Below are 25,545 nucleotides of genomic sequence, written 5' to 3' on the forward strand. Positions count from 1 at the left end.
CAAGAGACAACTGGACATGAATGTACATAGCAGATTATCCGTAATGGCCAAAAACTGCAAACAACCCAAATGTCTGTCAACCAATGAATGGATAAAGAAAATGTGATACAGTCATAGGATGGAACATTATTCAGCAATAAAAAGGAATAAAAGGCCAGGTACAGTGGCCCACGCCTGTAATCCCAGCACTTTGGGAGGCTTACGCAGGCGGATCACTTGAGGTCAGGAGTTCGAGACCAGCCTGGCCAACATGGTGAAACCCTATCTCTACTAAAAATAGAAAAATTAGCTGGGCGTGGTGGCACATGCCTACTTGCGAGGCTGAGGCAGGAGAATGGCTTGAACCCAGGAGGTGGAGGTTGCAGTGAGCCAAGATTGCAACATTGCACTTCAGCCTGGATGACAGAGTGAAACTCCAGCTCATCAAAAAAAAAAAAAAAAAGAAAAAAAAGAAAGAAAAAAGGAATAAGGTACTGATGCATGCTATGACATGGAAGAACCTTGTAACATTATGCTAAGTAAAAGAAACAAGTTTCAAAAGGCCACATACTGTGCCCTTCCATTTATATGAAATGCTCAGAATAGGAAAATCTGTAGACACAGGAAGTAGATTCATGGTTGTCTAGGCTGAGGAGTCTGGGAGTTTGGGGAGAAATAGGGAGTAAATATTCATGGATACTGGATTTGGGGGGAGTGATGAAAATGTTCTAAAATTGATTGTGGTGACAGTTGCACAACCCTGTGAATGTATTTTAAACTATTGAATTATCCACTTTAAACGAGTGAATTATATGGAAGATGAATTATACTTCATAAAAGCTATTAAAAAGTGAGATAGGAGGCTGAGCATCACTCCTATAATCATAGCACTTTGGGAGGCCAAAGCGAGAGAGGATCACTTGAGCCCAGGAGTTTGAGACCAGCCTGGACAACATAGTGAGACCTCATCTGTATTAGTTCATTCTCACACTGCTATGAAGAAATACCCGAGACTGGGTAATTTGTAAAGGAAAGACGTTTAATTGACTCACAGTTTCCCATGGCTGGGGAGGCCTCAGGAAACTTACAATCATGGCAGAAGGCAAAGGAGAAGCAGGCACCTTCTTCACATGGCAGCAGGACGGAGTGAGTGCAAGCAGGGGAAATTCCAGACACTTATAAAACCATCAGCTCTCATGAGACTCACTCACTATCAGGAGAACAGCACGGGAGAAACCACCCCCATAATCTAATTATCTCCATACTTGGTCCCGCCCTTGACACATGGGGATTATGAGGATTACAATTCAAGATGTGATTTTTGGTGGGGATACAGCCAAACCATATCACTGTCTCCACAACAAGTTTTTTAAAAAATTAACCAGCTATGGTTGCACGTGCCTGCGGTCCCAGCTACTTTGGAGGCTGAAGTAGGAGGATCACTTGATCATGATTGCACCACTGCACTCCAGCTTGGGTGACACAGAGAGACCCTCTCTCAAAAAAAGAGGAAAAGAAAATATATATTCTATGATCCAACAATTCTACTCCAGGTATATAGCCCAAAGAAATTTTCACACAGGGTTATATGGGAACATGTGCATAGATGCTTGCTGTATCACAGCTCTGTACAGCTCTGGGTGACAAGGAGCTGGAGGCTATCTGGGTGCTTATCCTTGGGAGAGTGGACAGGTAAAATGTGGTGGGTGTCTATGTTGGAGTCTAATACCACGGTGAGCAGCATCAGCTTAAATGTAGGCTAAGTGGCATAGATGAGTTTTAAATACATAAGCATTGAGTGGAAAAATGTAAAACCCAGGAGGAGATATATAATACAATACCATTTCCATAAGTTAAAAATGCATGTAGGCTGAGCACAGTGGCTCATGCCTATAATTCCAGCACTTTGAGAGGCTGAGGTAGGAGGACTGCTTGAGCTCAGGAGTGCAATACTAGTCTGGGCAAAAAAAGTGAGACCCCATCTTTACAAAAAAAATTTTTTTTTTAACTTAGCCACGTGCAGTGGCACACGCCTGTGGTCCCAGCTAAATGGGAGGCTGAGGCAGGAGGATCGTGTCAGCCCAGCAGATCAAGGCTGCAGTGAGCTGTGTTGCCATGTTCATACCACTGCACTCCAGCCTGAGTAGCAGAGTGAGAAACTGTCTCCAAAAAAAAAAAAAAAAAGGAAAATGCATACATGTAAATCAATATATTTTGTAATAAAACATTGAAATAAAAAGATAGCTCACTCAAATAGAAGTGGCAATTAGTCCTGTACTTGGATCTCTTTTCCTATGCGTCATAAAAGGTCAGGATATATGGAGCTAGAAAACATCAAAAAGCATCCATCAGTAAGACAACAGGAGAGATCGGTGCCTTGGATAAGAGGGTGTATAACTTCACCTACAGTTACATAAGCTGAAACAATAAATAAGAATAGATGTTGCAAGATTTTGGCAACATTTTGAGATGGCCTAATGTTCCTTAACTCTTTTAAGGGTCAATAGTGAGGGTTTGTTTCTCCAAAACAACATTTGAACCTTGGTTTCCTGAAATTGAAAATGGTTGGTTTTGTGCTGATCTAAGGAGCTGAACCATTGACTCTACAATGGCCCTTCATGTGCCCCTTCAGTTTTTTTATCAGCCCAGCTATATACCACAGGTTGGTTTCCTTAAAACAAATGTACCCCTTGTTCACTCCACAACTACACTTTTTGCATCATTCTGCTCCTAGCATTTTTTCACAGACCTTCCTGCCTAATGTTAAAATGGACTAAGCTGGGTTCCATGGCAGATGGACTTGGTTTCATCTCTTGGTGTCACCATTTATAGCTGAGCGTTGTCAACTTACATAATAAATGGAGAGAAGATCTCTAAAGGAAAATATTTATTCAGATATAGGGCATTGCAGTGGGAATTTATGTGACATAGTAAACTAACATGTATATTCAGGGAGGTAACGGAAGACAAAAGTTTTTTTTTTTTTTTAAAAAGACATAATTGTTTTAAGATAATGATCTTTGGCTACCAGCATCAATAACAAGAGTGACTCCAGTCTGACATTGGTCAAGCAGTTGCTGGACAGATGTCCTCACAGAAGTATTTTTTTTTTGTAAGGTTGCAGTGGCCTTTGTGCAAGGTTACAGTTTTTGCAGTCTTTTGTGATAGTTTTTGTTATCAAATATTTATGTGCAAGAACCCTGTCTTCATAGCCTTCTCCAGATCTATTTGTCATGATTTTTGTTAGCGCCAGTTACTCCATTTTGATTCTGACAACTTTCACATTTCCCCTTTTTGATTAAGATCTTTCTCTGAAAACATCATCGATCAATCATCCTGTAGTTAGATGTTTTTTTCCCTTACCCACTCTGAGTATGTCCTTACCATGCTAAGGATTTGATTGTTCCTCGGTGCCAGGATGGACCCATTCTGGTTTGGTGGTCTGATTCCACATTGGAGAGAGTAAATGGCAGCTAGAGTGAGTGTCAAAACCCTTTAAGCCACATTTGAGCAATAAGGGAGGTTTAAAAGGAGTGGCTCTCAGGCTAAGTATACCTGGAGTATACATAATTATACATAATTATACATAATTGAGTTTCATTTTGTCTGTTATATATTCTTTCGCTATGAACTCAAAGTGCTAGGCTGGCGTTATTCTGTTAGAAGTCGTACTTCTTGCCGGGTGTGGGGCGCAGTGACTCACGCCTATAATCCCAGCACTTTGAGAGGCCAAGGCAGGTGGATCACAAGGTCAGGAGATTGAGACCATCCTGGCGAACATGGTGAAACCCCATCTCTACTAAAATACAAAAAATTAGCCAGGCATGGTGGTACACACCTGTAGTCCCAGCTACTCGGGAGGCTGAGGCAGGGGAATCGCTTGAACCCAGGAGGCGGAGGTTGCAGTGAGCCAAGATCGTGCCACTGCACTCCAACTGGTGACAGAGTGAGACTCTGTCTCAAAAAAAAAAAAAAAAAAAAAAAAGAAATCGTACTTCTGCAAAAGTTTAACAAGTAACAAATACAAAGTTTAAAAAGGGAACATATGAGGTAAAATTAATAGCAATATGACAATCCCAGTTTGCATAATGGTTTTGAGCCATAAACCTAGGCTTAAAGGCACCCAATTAAATAAATCAAATGACCATTATCCTGTCAAGTGAAAGCAAAAACTGCAGCCTTGCACAAAGGCCAACTCAGGAGACTGAGGTGGGAGGATCTCTTGAGCCCAGGAGGCAGAGGGTGCAGTGAGCCCAAGATTGTGCCAGCCACTTCACTCCAGCCTGGATGAGACAGTGACACCCTCTCTCAAAATAAAGACATACATACATACATAAATACATAAACTTTAGAATTGTTATTCATAAAAATAGAAAAAACAATTCACTGTTTATGTATAGAAATGCTACTGAATTTTGTATGTTGGTTTTGTATCCTGCAACATTACTGAATTTGCTAATCAATTCTAACAGTTTTTTGGTGGAGTTTTTAGGTTTTTCTAAATATAAGAGTGTATGATCTGCAAACAAGGATAATTTGACTTCTTCCTTTCCAATTTGGATCTCCTTCATTTCTTTGTCTGGTCTGATTGCTCTAACTAGAACTTCCAGTACTATGTTGAATGACAGCAGTGAAAGTGGGCATCCTTGTCATATTCCAGATTTTACAGGAAAGGCTTTCAGTGTTTCTCCATTCAGTATGATGCTAACCATGAGTCTGTCATATATGGCTTTTATTGTGTTGAGGTATGTTCCTTCTATACCCAGTTTTTTGATGGTTTTTATCATGAAGAGATGCTGAATTTTTTTGAATTCTTTTTCAATATCAATTGAAAAGATCATATCGTTTTTGTCCTTCATTCTCATTGTTGTTATTGTTGTTGTTGTTGTTTTGGGGACAGGGTCTCACTCTGTTGCCCAGGCTTAAGTGCAGTGGTGCAATCTTGGCTCATAGCAATCTCTGCCTCCTGGGCTGAAGCAATTCTCCCACCTCAGCCTCCTGAGTAGCTGAGACTACTGGCATGTGCCACCACACTTGGCTAATTTTTTAATTTTTTGTAGAGACAAGATCTCCCTATATTTCCAAGGCTGGTCTCAAACTCAAAGAGATCCTCCTTCCTCAGCCTCCCCAAGTGTGTGCTTGGATTAGAGACATGAGCCACCACACCAGGCATTTTCCTTCATCCTCTTGATATGATGTATCACATTGATTGAGTAGCATATGTTGAACCATTCTTGCATCACTGGGGTAAATCCCACTTGGTCATGATGAATAACCTTTTTAATGTGTTGTTGAATTTGGTTTGCTATAATAGTATTTTGTTGAGGATTTTTGCACCTACGTTCATCACAGATATTAACCTGTTGTTTTCTTTATGTGTTTTTGTCTGGTTTTGGTATCAGGGTAATACCAACCTTGTAGGATAAGTTTGGAAGTATTCTTTCCTCCTCTATTTTTTAGAATAGTTTGAGCAGGATTAGGTATTTGTTTTTTAAACATGTGGTAAAATTCAACAGTGAAGCCATCTGGTCCTGGGCTTTTCTTTGCTGTGGGGCTTTTCATTACAATTTAGATCTTATTACTTGTTATTTGTGTGTTTGGGTTTTGGATTTCTTCACAGTTCAATCTTAGTAGGTTGTATGTGCCTAGGAATTTATCCATTTCTTTTGGGTTTTCCAATTTATTGGCATATAGTTACTCACAGTAGCCTCCAGTGATCCTTTGAATTTCTGTGGTGTCGATTGTAATGTCTTCTTTTTCATCTCTGATTTTATTTATATGGGTTTTCTCTCTTCTTAGTGTAGCTAAATATTTGCAATTATGTTTATCTTTTGGAAAAAAAAACCCCAACATTTTGTTTCATTGATCTTTTCTATTGTTTTCTTGATTTCAATTTTATTTATTTCTGACCTAGTCTTTATTATTTCTTTTCTTCATTAGTCTGGCTAAAGGTTTGTCAATTTTGTTTATCTTTTCAAAAAAACAACTTTTTGTTTCATTGATTTTTTGTGTATTTTCATTTCAAATTCATTGATTGCTGCTCTGGTCTTTATTATTGCTTTTATTCTACTAAGTTTGATCCTGTCTCAAACTTAGTAGAAGAATATATACATATTTGAGACAGGATCTTGTTTTGTTGCCCAGGCTGGAGTTCAATGGGATGATCACAGCTCACTGCAGTCTCGACCTCCTGGGCTCAAGTGATCCTCCAATCTCAACCTCCTGAGTAGCTGGGACTAAAGTCATGCACCACCACACTTGGCTAATTTGTTATTTCATTTGTTCCAATAAATTTTTAATTTTTTTCCCTTAGTTTCTTCATTGACCCACTGGTCATTCAGGAACATATTCTTTAATTTCCAAGTATTTGTATAGTTTCTAAAATTCCTCTTGTGATTGATTTCTAGTTTTATTACACCATGCTTAGAGAAAACACTTAATATAATTTCGATTTTTTTGAATTTTTAAAGACTGTTTTGTAGTCTAATATATGGCTTATCCTTGCAAATGATCCACATGCTGAGCAGAAGAATGTGTATTCTGCAGCCATTGGATGAAATGTTCTGTAAATATCTATTGGGCTCATTTGGTTTATAGTGCAGATTAAGTTCAACATTTCTTTGTTGATTTTCTGTCTGGAAGATCTGTCCAATACTGAGAGTGGGATATTGAAGTCTCCAGCTATTATTGCACTGGGGTCTATCTCTCTCTTTAGCTTTAATATTTGCTTTCTATATCTGGGTGTGCCAGTGTTAGGTGCATATAAATTTACAATTGTTACATCCTCTTACTGAAATGATCCCATTAGCATTATATAATGGTCTTCTTTGTCTCCTTTTATGATTTTTATGTTGAAACCTGGGTCCTGGGCTTTTCTTTACAGGGAGGCTTTTTACTATGGCTTTAATCTCATTACTTGTTACTGGTCTATTCAGGTTTTTGGATTCCTTCATGGTTCAATCTTGGTAGGTTGTATATATCTAGGAATTTATCCATTTCTTCTAGATTTTCCAATTTATTGGTATACACTTGCTCAGGGTAGTCACTAATTATTCTTTGAATTTCTGTGATAGCAGTTGTAATATCTCCTTTGTCATCCCTGATTTTATTTATTTAGGGTTTCTCTTTTTCTTTTTTCTTCATTAGTCTGGCTAAAAGTTTGTCAACTTGGTTTATCTTTTCAAAAAATCAACATTTTGTTGCATTGATTTTTGTGTGTGTCTTCTTCATTTCAAATTCATTGATTGCTGCTCTGATCTTTATTATTACCTTTCTTTTACTAAGTTTGAGGTTGTTTTGCTCTTGCTTCTGTAGTTCTTTAAGATGTGTTGTTAGGTTATGTATTTGAAGTTTTTCTTCTTTTTTGATGTAGGCACTTATAGCTACAAATTTCTCTTTTAGTACTGCTTTTGCTGTATTCCATAGGTTTTGCTATGCTGTGTTTCCATTATCATTTGTTTTAAGAAATTTTTCAATTTTCTTCTTAATTTCTTCATTGATTCACTAGTCATCCAGGAGCATATTGTTTAATTTCCATGGATCTGTATGATTTCCAAAATTCCTCTTGTTGTTGATTTCTAATTGTATTTCTTTGTGGTCAGAGAAGATGCTTGATATGATTTCAGTTTTTTGAGTGCTTTAAGACTTGTTTTGTGACCTAACACATGGTCTATCCTTGAGAATGATCAATGTGCTGAGGAAAAGAATGTATATTCTACAGACATTGGATGAAATGTTCTGTAACTATCTATTAGGTTCATTTGATCTATAGTGCAGATTAAGTTCAATATTTCCTTATTGAGTTTCTGTCTAGGAGATCTGCCCAATGCTGAAAGGGGAGTGTTGAAGACTCCAGATATTATTGTATTGAGGTCTAGCTCTCTCTTTAGCTCCAATAATATTTGCTTTATATATCTGGGTGCTCTAGTGTTAGGTGCACATATATTTATAATCATTATATCTTGTTGCTGTATTGACCCCTTTATCATTATATAATGACATTCTTTGTCTCTTTTTAGAGTGTTTGTCTTGAAATCTATTTTGTCTGATGTAAGTATAGCTACTCCTGCTCTTTTTGGTTTACATCGGCATGGATATCTTTTTTCATCTCTTTTTTTAAGTCTATATGTATCTTTATAGGTGAAATGTGTTTCTTGTAGGCAACAGATCATGGGGTCTTGTTTTTTCTTCCATTCAGCCACTCGATGTCTTTTGATTGGAGAGTTTAATCAAACAGAAGGAGTCTTCCATTGTGGCCACCACAGCTGGGAATGGTGAGTTGTTATATTTGCTACAATCAATGAGTCTACATTGACACATCATCATCACCCAGAGTTCATAGTTTACATTGAGGTTCATTCTTGGTGTTGTATATTCAATGGGTTTTTATAAACATATACTTATTAAGGACTGCATAGTGCACCATGGTGCTATTGTGTCTGGAATTGTTGGGTTCTTGGTCTCACTGACTTCAAAAATGAAGCCGCGGACCCTCACGGTGAATGTTACAGTTCTTAAAGGCAGCACGTCCGGAGTTTGTTCCTTCTGATGTTCGGATGTGTTTGGAGTTTCTTCCTTCTGGTGGGTTCGTGGTCTCGCTGGCTCAGGAGCAAAGCTGCAGACCTTCGCAGTGAGTGTTACAGCTCTCACGGTGGCGCGTCTGGAGTTGTTCGTTCCTCCCGGTGGGTTCGTGGTCTCACTGGCTTCAGGAGTGAAGCTGCAGACCTTCGCGGTGAATGTTACAGCTCATAAAGGCAGTGTGGACCCAAAGAGTGAGCAGCAGCAAGATTTATTGCAAAGAGCAAAAAAACAAATCTTCCAAAGTGTGGAAGGGGATGCAAGCGTGTAGCCACTGCTGGCTTGGGCAGCCTGCTTTTATTCTCTTATCTGGCCCCACCCACATCCTGCTGATTAGTCCATTTTACAGAGAGCTGATTGGTCTGTTTTACAGAGAGCCGATAGGTCTGTTTTGACAGGGTGCTGATTGGTGCGTTTACAATCCCTGAGCTAGACACAAAAGTTCTCCACCTCCCCACTAGATTAGCTAGATACAGAGTGTCGATTGGTGTATTTACAAACCCTGAGCTAGACACAGAGTGCTGATTGGTGCATTTACAAACCTTGAGCTAGATACAGAGTGCCAATTGGTGTATTTACAATCCCTTAGCTAGACATAAAGTTTCTCCAAGTCCCCACCAGAGTAACTAGATACAGAGTGCCGACTGGTGCATTCACAAACCCTGAGCTAGACACAGAGGGCTGATTGGTGCATTTACAAACCTTGAGCTAGATACGGAGTGCCGATTGGTGTATTTACGATCCCTCAGCTAGACATAAAGGTTCTCCAAGTCCCCACCAGAGTAACTAGATACAGAGTGCCGATTGGTGCATTCACAAACCCTGAGCTAGACACAGGGTGTTGATTGGCGTGTTTACAAACCTTGAGCTAGATACAGAGTGCTGATTGGTGTATTTACATTCCCTTAGCTAGACATAAAGATTCTCCAAGTCCCCAACAGACTCAGCAGCCCAGCTGGCTTCACCCAGTGGATCCCGCACTGGGGCCGCAGGTGGAGCTGCCTGCCAGTCCCGCGCTGTGCACCCGCACTCCTCAGCTCTTGGGTGGTCAATGGGACTGGGCGCCCTGGAGCAGGGGGCGGTGCTGTGCAGGAGCCCACAGCTGGCGGGGCAGGGTGTGGCGAGGCGGCTCAGGCATGGTGGGCTGGACCCCTGCCCCGCAGGGAGGCAGCTAAGGCCCAGCGAGAAGTTGAGCACAGCAGCTGCCAGCCCAGGTGCTAAGCCCCTCACTGCCCAGGGCCAGCGGGGACGGCCAGCCGCTTGGAGTGCAGGGCTGCCAAGCCCACTCCACCCAGAACTCGCGCTGGCCCACAAGCACTGCGCGCAGCCCCAATTCCTGCCTTCACCTCTCCCTCCACACCTCCCGGCAAGCTGAGGGAGCTGTCTCCGGCCTTGGCCAGCCCAGAAAGGGGCTCCCACGGTGCAGTGGCGGGCTGAAGGGCTCCTCAAGCACGGCCAAAGTGGGCGCCAAGGCCAAGGAGGCGTGGAGAGTGAGCAAGGGCTGTGAGGGCTGCCAGCACACTGTCACCTCTCACTATGGTCTCAATATCATTTGTCCCCACCAAAACTCATGTTGTGGACTGGTCTCCAATGTGGCAATGTTGGCAGGGCAGATGGTGTCTCTAAATGATTAGGTCATTAAGATAAATTAATGTCCTTCTCATGAGACAGGGTTAGTTCTCATGGGAATGGATTAGTTTCTGAGAGAGCCGGTTGTTATAAAGTGAGGGTGCCTTTGCAGCCATTGAAATACAAAAAATAAAATGAAGTTGCCCCTAGTGTTTTGCCCTTTCTCACACAAACCTAGTTCGCCTTCCATTTCTCCATGCTTTGACCAAGCATGAGGTCCTTGTTGGAAGCTGCCAGATGTTGCTGCCTAATCTTGAACTTCCCAGCTTGCAGAACCATGAGCTAAATATATCTCTTGTCTTTATAAACTTCTCAGGCTCAGGGATTCTGTTATAGCAATACAAAATAGACTAATACACATGGTATGTATTTATCATGAGAACTTTATACTTTTATTTGAAAATCCATCTTCAGACTTTTTCTATTATATACAATATAGATAATGCAATGTGTGTTAAAATTCTTGCTTTTTAAACTTATAAATCAATATGAAAATAAGATTGATGCATAGAACAATAGAAGAGAATGTGAATAAGTAATTGTAGAAGAAGAAATATAAATGGTCAATATAAAATGAGAAGTTGCTCAACCTCATTAACAATCAATGAAGTGAGAGTTGGAACAAGACATCATTTTTGAGAGCTATAGATTGATGGATATGAAAAAGATTGATAATATCAAGGATGGCACTGCTATAAACTAGGGCTGTAAGGGCAAATTGCTGTACCCTTTTAAGGGGACAGTAGCAATATGTAACAACCGTTAAAATGCACAGACCTTTTGCATTATGTTTAACTTTGTATACCTGCAGTGATAGCATTGTTATGTTAGATAGTTCTTATCTTTTAGAGATAGATATTGAAATACTATGAATGAAATTTTATAATAACTTGGATTGCTTCAACATAGGCTGCTGAGGGTCAGGCGCAGTGACTCACACCTGTAATCCCAGCACTTTGGGAGGCTGAGGCAGGCGGATCACTTGAGGTCAGGAGTTCAAGACCAGCCTGGCCCACATGGTAAAACCCTATCTCTACTAAAAACACAAAAATCAGCTGGGCTTGGTGGTGCGCACCTGTAATCCCAGCTACTCAGGAGGCAGAGGCACAAGAATCACTGGAACCTGGGAGGCGGAGGTTGCAGTGAGCCGAGATCATGCCCCTGGCACTCCAGCCTGGATGACAGAGTGAGATTCTGTCTCAAAAAACAAAAAACGCTGGTGAGTAGGTGAGGGGAAAGTAGGTAAGAGTACAGATGAAAGACGTGTGGCCATGAGTTCATGTTTGTTGCATCTGGGTGATGGATGAGTACATTGGAATTATTATACTGTTCTCTTTACTTCTATGTTTTAAAAAAACTTTTACAGAATAAAATGTTGAGGAAGAAAAATAAAAACTTGCAATTAAATTTTAACACAGCATTTATTTTTGAGAAAATTTATCCTAAGGAGAGGATCAACTAAGTGGGCAAAGATATAGCTACAAAAAGATTCAACATAACTTTCTAATTAAAGCTTCAATCTGGGCATTGAGCTCTTTTTTATCTGAGCAAAGAACTAGTTTGATGAGATCCTGAACAGTCAACAAACTGGTGACTCTGGCTCAGGAGAAGACATGCATTTCATATTAAAGGTCAAACACCCACAGCCCAATCACTTTTTGATAAGTAATATCCAGCAAATGACACCAATTTTAGCTACCTAATAAGATGAATCTTAAGTGAACTCTAAAGAAAGATACGGTGTTCAGAGTTACATACAGTGAAATTATAAAACTAAGTATAGCAGGTCCTTGAATAACATTTTTTTTCAATGTCATTGTGTTATGACATTGATAAGGAAAAAAAAAATCAATTCCCAGCTGGGCCACTGTTTGTGTGAAGTTTACACATTCTCCCCACGTCTGTGTGGGTTTCCTCTGGCTACTCAGTTCCTTTCCACACCCCAAAGATGTGCACATTAGGTGAGTGGATGTGTCTAAATGTCCTAATCTGAGTGTGGGTGTGTGTGTGAGTGTGCCCCGTGATGGAATGGTGTCCTGCCTGTCCAGCGTTGATTTCCACTTCTCGCCCTGAGCTGCTGAGATAGGTTCCAGCTACCCAAGACCCTGAACTGGAATAAGCAGGTTGGAAGATAAGTGAAAACAAGTTATTATAAAATAAATATTCATAAAGTATATGGTAATCATACAAACACACAACAATAAATGATGTGGTATGAAAGTGCTCAGTGAGCCTGCTATATTCGTTATTGTTTGTTTTTTAACTGTGTAGTGGTAGGAGGAGCCTCTTACTAATTTTGCTTTGCAAATACTTTTGATTTAACCACCACCACTACTATTGCTGTCACTCACTGACTGACCAAAAATCAGGTAAATAAATAAATATCTTACTTGTTTTTATTTACCTGTCTTATCTTTAAACATTTATTTATTTTAATGTTTAATATTAGAAGTGTTTTAGGTCTTTATTTAGAAGTTTGGTAATGTTTCTATGACCAGAAATATGCCATAGAAACATAACTCTTGTTTGTATCAATTAGCCTATGGTAAAATTGGTTTCATTATACATTATTTTGCTTAAAGTTGAAGTTCCCAATAACATATTGGTGACATTAAGTGAGGACTTACTGTACAGAAAATTTGCTCAGTTTTACGTGGGAGTATTCTTTTTTTTTTTTTTTTTTGAGACAGGATCTCACTGTATCACCTGGGCTGGAGTGCAGGGGTGAGATCATAGCTCACTTCAGTCTTGAACTTCTGGGTTCAAGCAATCCTCCTGCACTGGCTATCCAAGTAGCTAGAACTATAGGTGTACACCACCACATTTGGCTGACTTTTCTTATTTTTTTATTTATTCATTTATTTGTTTATTTATTTTTTAGAGCTAAGGTCTTGCTATGTTGCCTAGACTGGTTTTGAACTCCTGGGCTGAAGCAATCCTCCCACTTCGGCCTCTCAAAGTGCTGGGATATCAGACATGAGCCACCTGCCATGCTTGGCCTATGTGAGTATTCTTAGTTGTCATTATTTACATTGTACTATAGACTAAATGTTTGTGTCCCCTCTAAATTCGTATGTTGAAATCCTAACCCCCAATGTGATGGTATTAGCAGGTGGGGGCCTTTTGTAGCTGATTAGTTCGTGAGGGTGGAGCGCCCATGAATAGGATTAGTGCCCTGATGAAAGAGACCCCAAGGAGCTTTCTCATCAACTTTCTGCCATGAGAGAAAACTGGGAACTAGGAAGCAGGTTCTCACTAGACATCAAATCTGCCAGTACCTTGATCTTGGACTTCCCAGCCTCCAGAACTGTCCCCCTTAGTCATCCCACAGTGGTGAGCACCTAAGGTGACTTAACAACAGTTTTGTACTTTGTATCAGATGCACAAATGCATTCTCACTTGCCCTTTGTGTGTGTGAGTGCATTTCTATCTTCTTTTATGTTCTCTTTTTATTATACTTATGTTCATTTCACAATTCTTTTTTTTGTTTTTAAGAGAGTTGGGGGCCAGGCACGGTGGCTCACACCTGTAATCCCAGCACTTTGGGAAGCCAAGGCAGGTGGATTACCTGAGGTCAGGAGTTCAAGACCAGCCTGGCCAAGATGGCAAAACCCCATGTCTCTACTAAAAAAAAAAAATACAAAAATTAGCTGGGCCTGGTGGCAGTTGCCTGTAATCCCAGCTACTCCAGATAAGTCACAAACTCTGAAAAGTCAACAAACTGGTAACTCTGGCTCAGAAGAAGGCATGCATTTCATACTTAAGGGTCAAATACCCACAGCCCAATCACTTTTTGATAAATGACATATCCAGCAAATGTTACCAATTTTAGCTACCTAATAAGATGAATCCTCAAGAGGCGGAGGCAGGAGAATCACTTGAACCTGGGAGGCAGAGGTTGCAGTGAGCCAAGACTATGCCACTGCACTCCAGCCTGGGCAACAAAGTGAGACTCTATCTCCAAAAAAAAAAAAAAAAAAAGAGAGAGCGAGAGATGGGGGTCTCACTCACTCTGTCACTCAGGCTGGAGTGCTGTGATGCAATCATAGCTCACTGCAACTTCAAACTTCTAAACTCAAGCAATCCTCCCAATTCAGCCTACTGAGTACCTGGAACACAAGGCACACTCTACCACCTCTGGCCAATTTTTGAATTTTTTGTAGAGACACCATCTAGCTATGATTCCCAGTCTGGTCTCAAACTCCTGGCCTCAAGCAATCCTCCTGCCTCAGCCTCTTGAGTAGCTGGGATTACAGTCATGAGCCACTGTGCCCACTTGAATCTTTATTGAGTGCTTATTCCTCAAGAAATGCTATAACAAATGTTAGAAATTAAATGGTGAGTCAAAACAAAGTCCCTGTCTTTCCTGGGGTTTACAGTAATACTCTCTCCATGAACATCAACAACAACAGTAACTAATACACATAATTACATTTATTGATTAATTGAATGCTCACATACACATAAAGATATCATTGTCATTATTTTGTCAAGGGGGAAAGGGAGGCACAGAGAGCATAAGGAATTTGCCCAGAGTCATATGCTCTAGTGGTGGAGCCTGTATACTGTTTGTCTCTCCTTTACTATATTTACTCTCCCATGAATTGTAAACCAAAAATAAAATTCTAAGGCACCACAACCATCTGAATGGGCCCCTCCTCTCAGCCAGGGGCATTCCAAAGCTAACCTGAAAAAAATGAGTTCAGGCCATGATGAGAAAAGGGAGCCAAAATGCCTCATTATACCCTCCTCCCTTTTGGAATTACTGATATAAGAGGCTCTTTAAGTCTGATAAGAAATATTTACAATCTATTCTCTCTCAAATCTGCTACCTGGAGGCTTTATCTGCATGATAAAACCTTGGTCTCCACAACCCTTATCATAATCCAGACATTCCTTTCTATTGATAATAACACTTTCAACCAATTGCCAATCAGAAAATCTTTGAACCTGCCTGTGACGTGGAAGCCCCCAATTCCAGTTGTTCCACCTTTCTGAACTGAACCATTGTACATCTTACATGTATTAATTGATGTCTCATGTCTCCCTAAAATGTATAAAACAAAGCTGTGGCCCAACCACCTTGAGCTTATGTTTTCAGGATCTTTTGAGGCTGTGTCATGGGCCATTAGTCACTCATAACTGGCTCAGAATAAATCTCTTCAAATATTTTACAGAGTTTGACTGTTTTCATCGACACAATGTAAATATCATCTGAGATGTTATACTAACCCATTTATTTATTATTCACTCACTACATCGTTATTAAACATCTTTGATGTGCCAGGCATGTGGGGGTGGCTCTGGGCAAACAAAGAAATATGCTCAGTCCCTGTCATTGAGTGAGGCCCATAAACACATAATTCCAGCACAACCTGTTATGTGAAAAGACAAGGTATATATCAAGTGAAATGTAAACAAAGGAGGAAATGACTAACTTTGCTTGGGATTGCTGAGAAAGACTTTGTAGAAGAGAAGATTTTTTATCAGTGTCATGAAGGCTTAATAGCAACTGATTTGTTAAAGAATCATGAAAAGATCAACCCCAAGAAAGAAAAGGAAACATGGAAGGACCTGGACTGGAGTCACGCCAGTACAAGGAGGATACTGGCAAAGATGAGGTAGGTGGATGGGAAATAGCAGGACTTGAGGGTAAGACATTGAGTTGAAAACAAAATAATGGTTATTGATCAAACGCAGTGGGGCTTAGGCTGGGGAGTAATGCATATGGATCTGGTGCCATTTTGAAGGACATTGTTGAAGGCAAGGGAAAGCGTCCCCTTCACTCTCTGAAGGTTTGCTGAAAATATTTAACAAGAAGACGATTAATAGGAGAAAAGGCATACAAATTTATTTGATCATAGTTTTTCATGACACAGGGGCCTTCAAAATGAAAGCCCTCCACCTCGAGGTTACAGAAAGAATATGGATTCAGAGCACAGCCAAAAACAGGCTATGGTGGTAAACTAGGCTTTAGTGGCAAAACAGGTTATGAGAGAGACAGAACAGGAGGCCTGCCTAGCAAAGTTGGCCTTATTATATAGATGAAACCTCATGGGTAGCAGACAGAATAGATGACAAATTCTTCTTACCTTTACCAAATTCTCTCACCTCTAAAGGTGTCAGACTCTTAATCTTTCCTAGATCTGACAAGGGAATCCTGGCTGCATGAATATAGATTCTCTACAGATGTAAATTTCCCCCAGGAAAGACAGCTTTGTAGGGCCAATTCCGTTTGCTGGCCCTCTGGCAGTCATCTCAAAGTATATCAAAGAAATATATTTTGGGGTAAAATATCTTGATTTCCTTCCACATCGAGGATGAAAGTTGCTGAAGAAAGGAAAAAAATGTTGGTAGCTCTTGCAGTGATCTAAGCAAAAATTGAGGCACTGGAGAGGAGACTTATTGAGGGGTATGAATCAACAGAGCTTGATTAAGTCTAGGGGTTAAAGGAGTGATTGGGTGACTGAGTGGATAATGGTAACAATCAAAATAGTATCTCAAATTCTACAAGATTCCTTTTGAGCTAGAGTTTGCTCAAAGTACATTCAAAGCAGCACCTGTTGAACTCTGACAGCCCAGAAAAACAATAGCTAACTCACGCATGGCTAAATAGCTCTTAGAATCATAGTGAGTCATTGTTTTGGTTATATTAATGGATTAATTCAGTTAATCCTCACAAAAACCTCATAAAGTAGGCAGGACCATATTCCATTTTACAAATGAGGAGATCAGTTCAGGAAATTAGAACAGAGAGGTGAACTAACTTAACCAAGGTGATATAGCCACTAAGTGTTGGAGTCTGACTTCAAACACAGTCAGTTTTTATACTGCCTTGTTTGAAGCCTGGGGTGAAGATGGAGGTGGAGTGCTGTCCTGGGAGTGGGGCTGAGGGATGCAGCACTTTACAAGGGCAAAGTTTCCTACAAATCACCTTTAAACATCTTTCTTCCTTCTCAAAGTTCACACTCACCCTGGCTGCCAAGTGCTCCCTGCTCCTCGGGGCTATTGCTGTGCTGTTCTTGAGAGCTTCCTCCTTCCACCAGACAGTTTCTGTTCCCCTTAGTTCTGAGAAATGTGGCCGTCCTGGCCTAGCACCCTCCTAGGAGAAGTGAAGTCCCCTGCAGATCTTTCTGTTTGTTTGTTTTTCTGGAGCAAACAAGCCCTGCTTTCAATTCAGGGAAAGGTGGAAGGAGAACAGAGGTCTGGGAATGTGAAGAAGCTAAGACAGTGGATTTGATTGGGCACTTGTTTTGTTTGTGGTGTCTCAGGGATATTCAACTGAAAAGAGAAACCACAGAGATAGGAAGCCAGAAGAGGTTTGAAATTCTTTTGAAATACTTACTAAATATTTGCTTTCAGACACTTTGCAGGAGTATTCAAACAGCATCTCCCTGTATGTTGGAAAGCAGCCCGTGTACACAGCTAAATATTTTTTCTAAATAATCTTGAAAAGGAAACTAAACCAATCATGCATCACTGACAAAGATTTTGTCTTTTTTTTTTTTGAGACAGAGTCTCGCTGTGTCACCCAGGCTGGAGTGCGGTGGCATGATTTCAGCTCACTGCAACCTCCACCTCCCGGGTTCAGGCGATTCTCCTGCCTCAGCCTCCTGAGTAGCTGAGATTACAGGTGCATGCCACCACACCCGTCTAATTTTTGTATTTTTAGTAAAGATGGGGTTTTACCATGTTGGTCAGGCTGGTCTTGAACTCCTGACCTCGTGATCTGCCTGCCTCGGCTTCCCAAAGTACTGGGATTACAGGCGTGAGCCACTGCGCTTGGCCTGTCTTTTTTTTTTTTTTTAATAGGATCTGTTCTAAAAGTAATTTATGATTTGCATTCTGAAACTTGCCATCTAGTCAAGTTTAAAGACCCATGTAGGAACAAATATCATAAAAGTACAAAAAATTGATCATCATATGTATGTAAATGTTGTAATTTTTAAAAAGTCTTCGTGATAATGAAAAGAATCCATGTTGACTATAGCAAACATAAAATACAGAATTTAAAAAATTCCTCTTACTGTCACATATAAGCACCATTAACATTTTGGATGTATTCTCTTCCAGACTTCCTGCAATCTCTTTCTTTCTTTTTGATTACTATATTTCTTTATATTTTATTACTACGGTTGTTGCTAGTTTTCCATTTCAAACATAGCTATTTTCTCTACATAATGCATAACCTGCTATTTAAAAAAAAAACAAACTTTGTTTAAAAATGTACAAAATTAACACATTCTCATCCAAAAAAGAGGTCTTGCAGTGAAAAAGCATATAGGGTCAAAATGATATGTTTCCCTGGTCCCATTCCCCAAGGTAGCCTCAAGCAACAGTTTGATGAAGTTCACAAGTTTTTCCAAAAGCAAAGCCATTCTTGAGGTAAATTTTTCCTCCTCATGTCTATAATCTACATTAATATAAACATATTTTCTCTAGTGTTGTGATCTAGTGTTTTTTTTCCTAACGGTGTTTCAGACAGCTTTTTCACGTCGACCTAAAAGGAAGAGGCCTAACACCAAATACGATTTTAAAAGTTTACTTGAGCCAAAGTGGGAAGAGCTGCCTGGAAGACTCAGACCCAGGTAGCCTTGGTTATGAGCACCATTTGGCCTGTATTATAAGCAGATTTTTTAAAGGCAAAAAAAGGAGACTAGAGATTGCTAGTACAAAGTTGTTTGTCAAGAATTATTATTGGTTTATAGATATAACATTGATCAGTGATTGGCTGTACATCGTTAAGCCATAGGGTGTGGATATAGTGTCAGGTTAAGCATTATTAGGTTAAGTTATAGCTATCTGTGGCAATAGCAAGCAGTTTCAAGGGATGAATCCATAGCTCAAAGCGGGGAATAGGACGTATAGCTCTCTCATTTTAATGTCTCTCTGGGCCTGATGATTTAAAAGACTCACACTCCTAAGATGAAAGTTATTTTCTCATCTATGTAATGTGTTAATAATTATGTCTGGTGAAATGTTGCTAAAACACTGCAACGTGGTTGGCCTTGCTTTGAATGAGCTGGAAGAAGATTTTATATCAGTGTCATCGGAATGCACTGATTCCTTGAATAGTCAGAGACTAATTTTGGTCTAAATTATGTTCTTTCTTTACCTTTTTAAAAAATCAATACGCTTTTCATTTTGAAATTTTTTTTTTTTTTTTGAGACAGAGTCTCGCTTTGACGCCAGGCTGGAGTGCAATGGCATGATCTCAGCTCACTGCAACCTCCACTTCCCAGGTTCAAGCAATTCTCCTGCCTCAGCCTCCTAAGTAGCTGGGATTACAGGGGTGCGCCACCATGCCCAGCTAATTTTTGTATTTTTAGTAGAGACGAGGTTTCACCATGTTGGCCAGGATGGTCTCAATCTTGACCTTGTGATCTGCCCGCCTCAGCCTCCCGAAGTGCCAGGATTACAGGCATGAGCCACCGTGCTCAGCCTGAAATAATTTTTAAAAGTTGCAAAGATAGTACATAGAGTTCCTATATACACTTCACCCAGCTCCCTCTAATGTTAATCTCTTATGTCATCATGGTACATTTGTCAAAGCTAAGAAATTGACATTGGCACAATACAGTTAACTGTAGACTTTATTTGGATTTCACCAGTTTTTCCACTAATATTCTTCTATTCCAGAATCCATTCAGGATACCTATTATTTTAGTTACTTTATCTTTTAAGTTACATTGTTTCATTGCCTCTCTATGAAGGATTGTGGGAAGGGGAAGGGGTTAGAGAGAAAATACATACTGATGCATTTGAGATTAAAGGAAATCAAAATACTTTATCTCAAAATACATATTTCCTGGACATAGTTCACGATGGCTATTTAGAAGGGCTGGATGGCTGGGTGTGGTGGCTCATGCCTACAACCCCAGCACTTTGGGAGGCCAAAGTGGGTGGATCGCTTGAGTCCAGGAGTTCGAGACCAGCCTGGGCAACATGGCGAAACCCTACAAAAAATAGAAAAATTAGCCGGGCATGGTGGCGCGCGCCTGTAGTTCCCAGTACTCAAAGGGCTGAGGCAGGAGGATCACTTGAGCCTTGTGGGATTGTGTGTGTGGAAGTTGCAGTGAGCCAAGATTGGGCCACTGCACTCCAGCCTGGGTGACAAAGGAAGACCCTGTCTCAAAAATAAAATAAAATAGAAGGGCTGGAAATGGAAGAATAGCTGAAAAGCTGTCTTTTGTAGGAGGAAATTTGCATCTGCAGAGAAACAGCTGCATTGGTGCAGCCAAGCTTTCTCTGAAGCCATCTCGCATCTGATCTAGGAAGGATTAACTGAGAGTCTGATATTTTAAAGGTCTAAAAGAAATGTTACCATCTATTTTCTCTGATGGCTACTATCTGTGAAGTTTCATCTACAAGGCCACTTTTGCTAGCCACCCATAACCTGTCTTGCCACTATGACCTGATTTAACTACCACCTTAACGTGTTTTTGGTCGTGCTCTGAGCTCCCAGGCTTTGTGTAACTTCAAGATAGTATATAAGCTTCTGCATCCCCATTGGAGGGCTGGAGTAATCAATCTGTGATTTTTTTTCCCCCATGCATGCCAATACATTTGTATATACCTTTTCTCTTACTAATCTTCCTTTCATCAGTTGATTTTTCAGTGAAACTTCAGAGGGTAAAAGGGAAGTTTTCCCTTGGTCTCTACAAGATCATGTTAGCAACATGAGGTTGCAATCATTAGAGTCCTGGGATTCCTGCTAAATGTTATTTTACGTAGTCATCCTGCCTCCTTCAGGCAAAGGTATTTGAGGAGTGGCTATACCAAATGTTAGGCAGGCGGATCCTCTGAGGTCAGGAGTTTGAAACCAGCCTGGCCAACATGGTGAAACCCCGTCTCTACTGAAAGAATACAAAAATTAACCAGGTGTGGTGGCACGTGCCTGTAGTCCCAGCTACTTGGGAGGCTGAGGCGGGAGAATCGCTCGAACCTCGGAGGCGGAGGTTGCAGTGAGCCGAGATCTCGCCACTGCATTCCAGCCTGGGTAACAAGAGTGAAACTCTGTCTCAAAAATAAAAAAAAAAAAGAAAAGAAAAAGAAATTCTCATGGCATGATTCGAGAGATGAGTGATGTCAGACCTGAGGGCCAAATTGTAGACAACTGCTCCTTAAGAGTAAGGACTATCTCTTGCTTATCTTTGCATCTTCTGTAGCACCTAGTGTTTAGGACTCTATAAAATTGAGCCACCCAGATGACTGTATTCCAAAAACATGAGTATGTTTTCTCTCAATCTCTGTGTATGGGATAACTGTTTTGTTTTGTTTTATTTGTTTGTTTCAGGCCCAATGTTTATTCCTACTTCTACTAAAAGTACTTTATTTTTCTTATTTTCCTGGGGGAACTATTCCCTCCCAGTATTCTACTACGTAGTTCAGATGGAGTTAAATCTACTCACTGGCTCCATAAGTAAGAGTGTTATCTAGGCCAGCCTTAGAGGAGTAACAAATTCTCCTGGCCACAATAATTGGTTCAGAGGTGTTTCCACAAACCAAGCTAAGACAGAGTGGTCAATCCTGGCACTAGGATAAACTTCTGTTGGTAAGGTATGGTAGCACATGCCTGCAATCCCAGTGCTTTGGGAGGCTGAGGCAGGAGGGTTGCTTGAGGCCAGGAGTTCAAAAACAGCCTGGACCACACAGCAAGACACCGTCTTTAAACACACACACACACACACACACACACACACCCTCCTTCTGTTGGACTTGCTGCACTAGAATCATAAGCTTGAAGTCACCACGTAGCTGCCTGGGAATGGAACTGCCACAGAAGAAAGACAGCCTAGGAATGGGTGAGAAAGACAACGTCTTGTTAACATCATTTGAGTGCCTGAATCAAACCTTTCCCAAAGCTCACTCCTTGAACTTTCAGGTATTGAGCCAATCAATCTTTTTCTAAATTTAAACTAATTTGAGTTGGCTTTCTCTCACTTACAACAGGAGTCCTGACATATATCTTTAATGTCACCCTCTACCACTTGATATTGTGAGTGAACAACTTTGGATCTTGGGCTTTCCTTAGCTCTCTATGCCCAATGCTAAATGTGATTTCACAATTATGGTTCAGGCCTGTTCAGACTTCTCTATGTGAGAGAGCTTGTGCATGGGTATGATTTAAATCTCTCTGTGTCAGAATAGCCTTGTACAGTTCTGTGCGTGAAATGTTTGCTCAGCTAGTCTAGATGAGGATATTCTAGATGTCATCCTTCCAAGGAGACTTCCCTGACTCCCACACTTTCATATATGTCAGATGAAAAGGATCTCTTATAGTTTCCTATGCTTACCCTTATTCTAACCGTCTTTACTCTATATTATACAGTTGGCTCTTGAACAATATGGGTTTGAACTGCATGGGTCCAATTATACATGGATTTTCTTCTCCTTCTGCCACCCTAGAGACAACAAGACCAACTTCTCCTCTTTCTCTTCCTCCTTAGCCTACTCAATGTGAAGACGTTGAGTATAAAGACTTTATGGTGATCCATTTCCAGTTAATGAATAGTAAATATATTTTTTCTTCCTTATGATTTTCATAAGAACATTTTGTTTTCTCTGGCTTATTTTATATTGTGAAAATATACTATATAATACATATAAAAAATTCATGTTAATTAACTTATGTTATCAGTAAGGTTTCTAGTCAACAGTAGGCTATTAGTTAAGTTTTGGGTAAATAAAAGTTATATTCAGATTTTTGAGTGTGTGGGGTCAGCATCCCTAGCCCCCACATTATTCAGGGGTCAACTATAATTGTTTCTTACCTGCTGTCCCAAGTGAAGCTCCTCTTGTCTTTTCCTAAAAATAATCTCTGACACCCAGCCTAGTGATTTACAGAATGGATACATGATATACAATTATCAAATAAATGAATGGATGAATAATAAATGATAATAATAATTACACAAATTAGGGAAAACTCTTCTCTTTTTCCATACCTTCTCTGCAAAGGCTACAGAAAATCAGTAACTGCATTCAAGAATTCTACTCATTGATCTTTTTTTTCTTCTTTTTCTCTTATCCCAAGCCCTAATCTTGCAAAATAATTAAACTGCAATGCAGTCTTCACGTATCTACTCACTGATCTTGAAGCCTTATTTTCCATTCTGTGAGCCACACTTAGATATTGATAAACTAAAGTATTCAAAAGCTGGCAACCAGGTGTGAAGTGTTGAAAACATGATAAATGAAGAATAATTGAAGGAGCTAGAAAGTTGAGCTTGGCAAAGGAAGATCCAGGGTAGAGAATATCATTGTTTTCAAAATTTGAAGTGGATAGGAACCAGGGCAAAAACCAAGCCAATAATTTCAGACTGGAGTTCTGTCAGTAGAGAACTCTTAACAGTTAAGATCATCAAAGGTAAAATGAGCTGCTGCAGAACTCCCTGAGCTTCCCACTCTCAGAGGTGCTCCCGGAGGGGTAGAACCCATAGACCATTTGATGGAAAATCTGTATAACAGATTTTTAGATGGTGAGAGTCAGGAATTCAAATTTCTGGCACTTACAAAGATATTCTTCTACTTTAAGAACATTAGGCGGCCGGGCGCGGTGGCTCACGCCTGTAATCCCAGCACTTTGGGAGGCCGAGGCGGGTGGATCATGAGGTCAAGAGATCGAGACCATCCTGGCTAACAAGGTGAAACCCCGTCTCTACTAAAAATACAAAAAATTAGCCGGGCGCGGTGGCGGGAGCCTGTAGTCCCAGCTACTCGGGAGGCTGAGGCAGGAGAATGGCGTGAACCCGGGAAGCGGAGCTTGCAGTGAGCCGAGATTGCGCCACTGCAGTCCGCAGTCCGGCCTGGGCGACAGAGCGAGACTCCGTCTCAAAAAAAAAAAAAAAAAAAAAAAAAAAAAAGAACATTAGGCATTTAGGATCTTTTCAAGCACTGGAAGAATCATAGAATCTTTTAATTTTTAAAAAATTTATCTGAACCTCTGATCCTTGTTTAATGAGGCAGTTGGCAGATGAAGAGTTCCACCCTTGCTCCAGTGCTATGCTGATGAACAAGGCCACTGTGTAGCCAAAAGGTGTGGCTCTGCATTTGGTTAACAGGGCTCAGAAGTATGGGATTGCCCAATGTATGTCCTGCATTCTGCTTAAATTAGCCTTAGGGCTTTATCAGTGTAACCTTTCCTTAATTATGTGTGTATGTTTGTGTGTGTATGCGAGTTTGTGTAATTTTTGCTTATTGTCCTTGGGTGGAAACTGATTAATTAATCATGTAGGCCTTTAGATGAGAACCAAAGACTGTGTTTGGAAAAAAATGGTCTAAGGACTACCTGCATCAACATTTCTTAGAAGCTTCTAATAATGCATATTCCTGGGTCTCACCCAGACTTACTAAATCAGATTCCCTGGGGGTTGAGCCCAGATATCTACTTCTTAACAAGAAACCCAGGTACTAATCACGAGCTTCAACATTGGAGGGTCCTAACTGTAGAAGGTAGCAGGATGGTAATGAGAGGAACTCCCCTCCCCTGAACACAAACATTATATTTTTGGGCAGAGCTGCAGACTGTTCTCAGATGTAAAAAGGCGGACTGATCCATTAGGAATTGGTTCCACTGGATTTTTTTTCACAGTGTTTTTTTCTGGGCTCTCACTGTGTTAACAACAATCCACACAGAAGACTTCTGTGACCAAATGAGTGTGAGTTTTTTCCCACACACCAGGCAAGCAAGCAATTCTGCCGGGGACAGCGGCTGAGTGTCCTCCAATCCAATTCTGACACTATCTACCTGAAGATGCCATCAGACCCCACAGGTTGAGGGCTCGGTCCCACAAGACCCCCCCCCCCCCCCAGCCCATACACACACCAGTTGCAAGTTCAGGCCTCGGGAACTTCTGACCAACTGGCTTCCAGTTGCCATTCCCATGACCCCCTCTTTGGGCTCAATTAATTTGCCAGAGCTGCTCACAGAACTCCGAGAAACACGTTTCCCAGTTTATTATGAAGGATATAGATGAAGAGAAGAGATGCATAGGGTACAGGATGCAGAAAGGAGTGCAAAGTTTCCATGCCTTCTCTGAGAGCAACATCCTCCAGGAACCTCCACGTGTCCAGCTATCTGGAAGCTCTCTGAATCCTGTACTCTTGGGCCTTTGATGGAGATTTCATTAGATAGGCATGATTGACAACCATGTAGAAATGTGATTAGACAAAAAAAGTATGATCTAATACCAACAGACTGAACGGGGGAACCCAGCAAGGCCTGTCTGCTCACATTTCTCTTGGCCTCTCTGTGCAACATTCCTTCCTCCAGGGTAGGGGGCAGAGCCCCTTCTGAAATAAGTTATGACCTATAATCAGACAAGGTGGGTCAGAAAATTTCTTTATGGCCAGCTCCAA

At 40.7% G+C, this 25,545-nt stretch overlaps 1 long non-coding RNA gene across 3 annotated transcripts in view, besides 1 other annotated feature; it reads left to right on the forward strand.

Moving 5' to 3' along the window:
• The window catches only part of PPM1K-DT (PPM1K divergent transcript), a 56,728-nt gene that overhangs the window by 18,690 nt on the left and 12,493 nt on the right, over positions 1-25,545 (forward strand). The window contains exons 2-4 of one of the 3 annotated variants that reach the window (NR_134236.1): positions 8,177-8,252; positions 13,067-13,188; positions 15,712-15,806. This is a non-coding gene — a long non-coding RNA (PPM1K divergent transcript). The remainder of the gene's footprint in view (positions 1-8,176; positions 8,253-13,066; positions 13,189-15,711; positions 15,807-25,545) is intronic. The other 2 variants (NR_134238.1, NR_134237.1) reach the window with 2 other exon arrangements.
• Positions 17,220-17,299: an enhancer, noted in NCBI's record as "active region_21712". NCBI's record gives its function as "activates an Ori minimal core promoter by ATAC-STARR-seq in GM12878 lymphoblastoid cells {active_cell/tissue: GM12878}" and the evidence as "EXISTENCE:reporter gene assay evidence [ECO:0000049][PMID:35858748]".

Source organism: Homo sapiens, chromosome 4 (assembly GCF_000001405.40).
Source record: "Homo sapiens chromosome 4, GRCh38.p14 Primary Assembly".
NCBI lineage: Eukaryota > Metazoa > Chordata > Mammalia > Primates > Hominidae > Homo > Homo sapiens.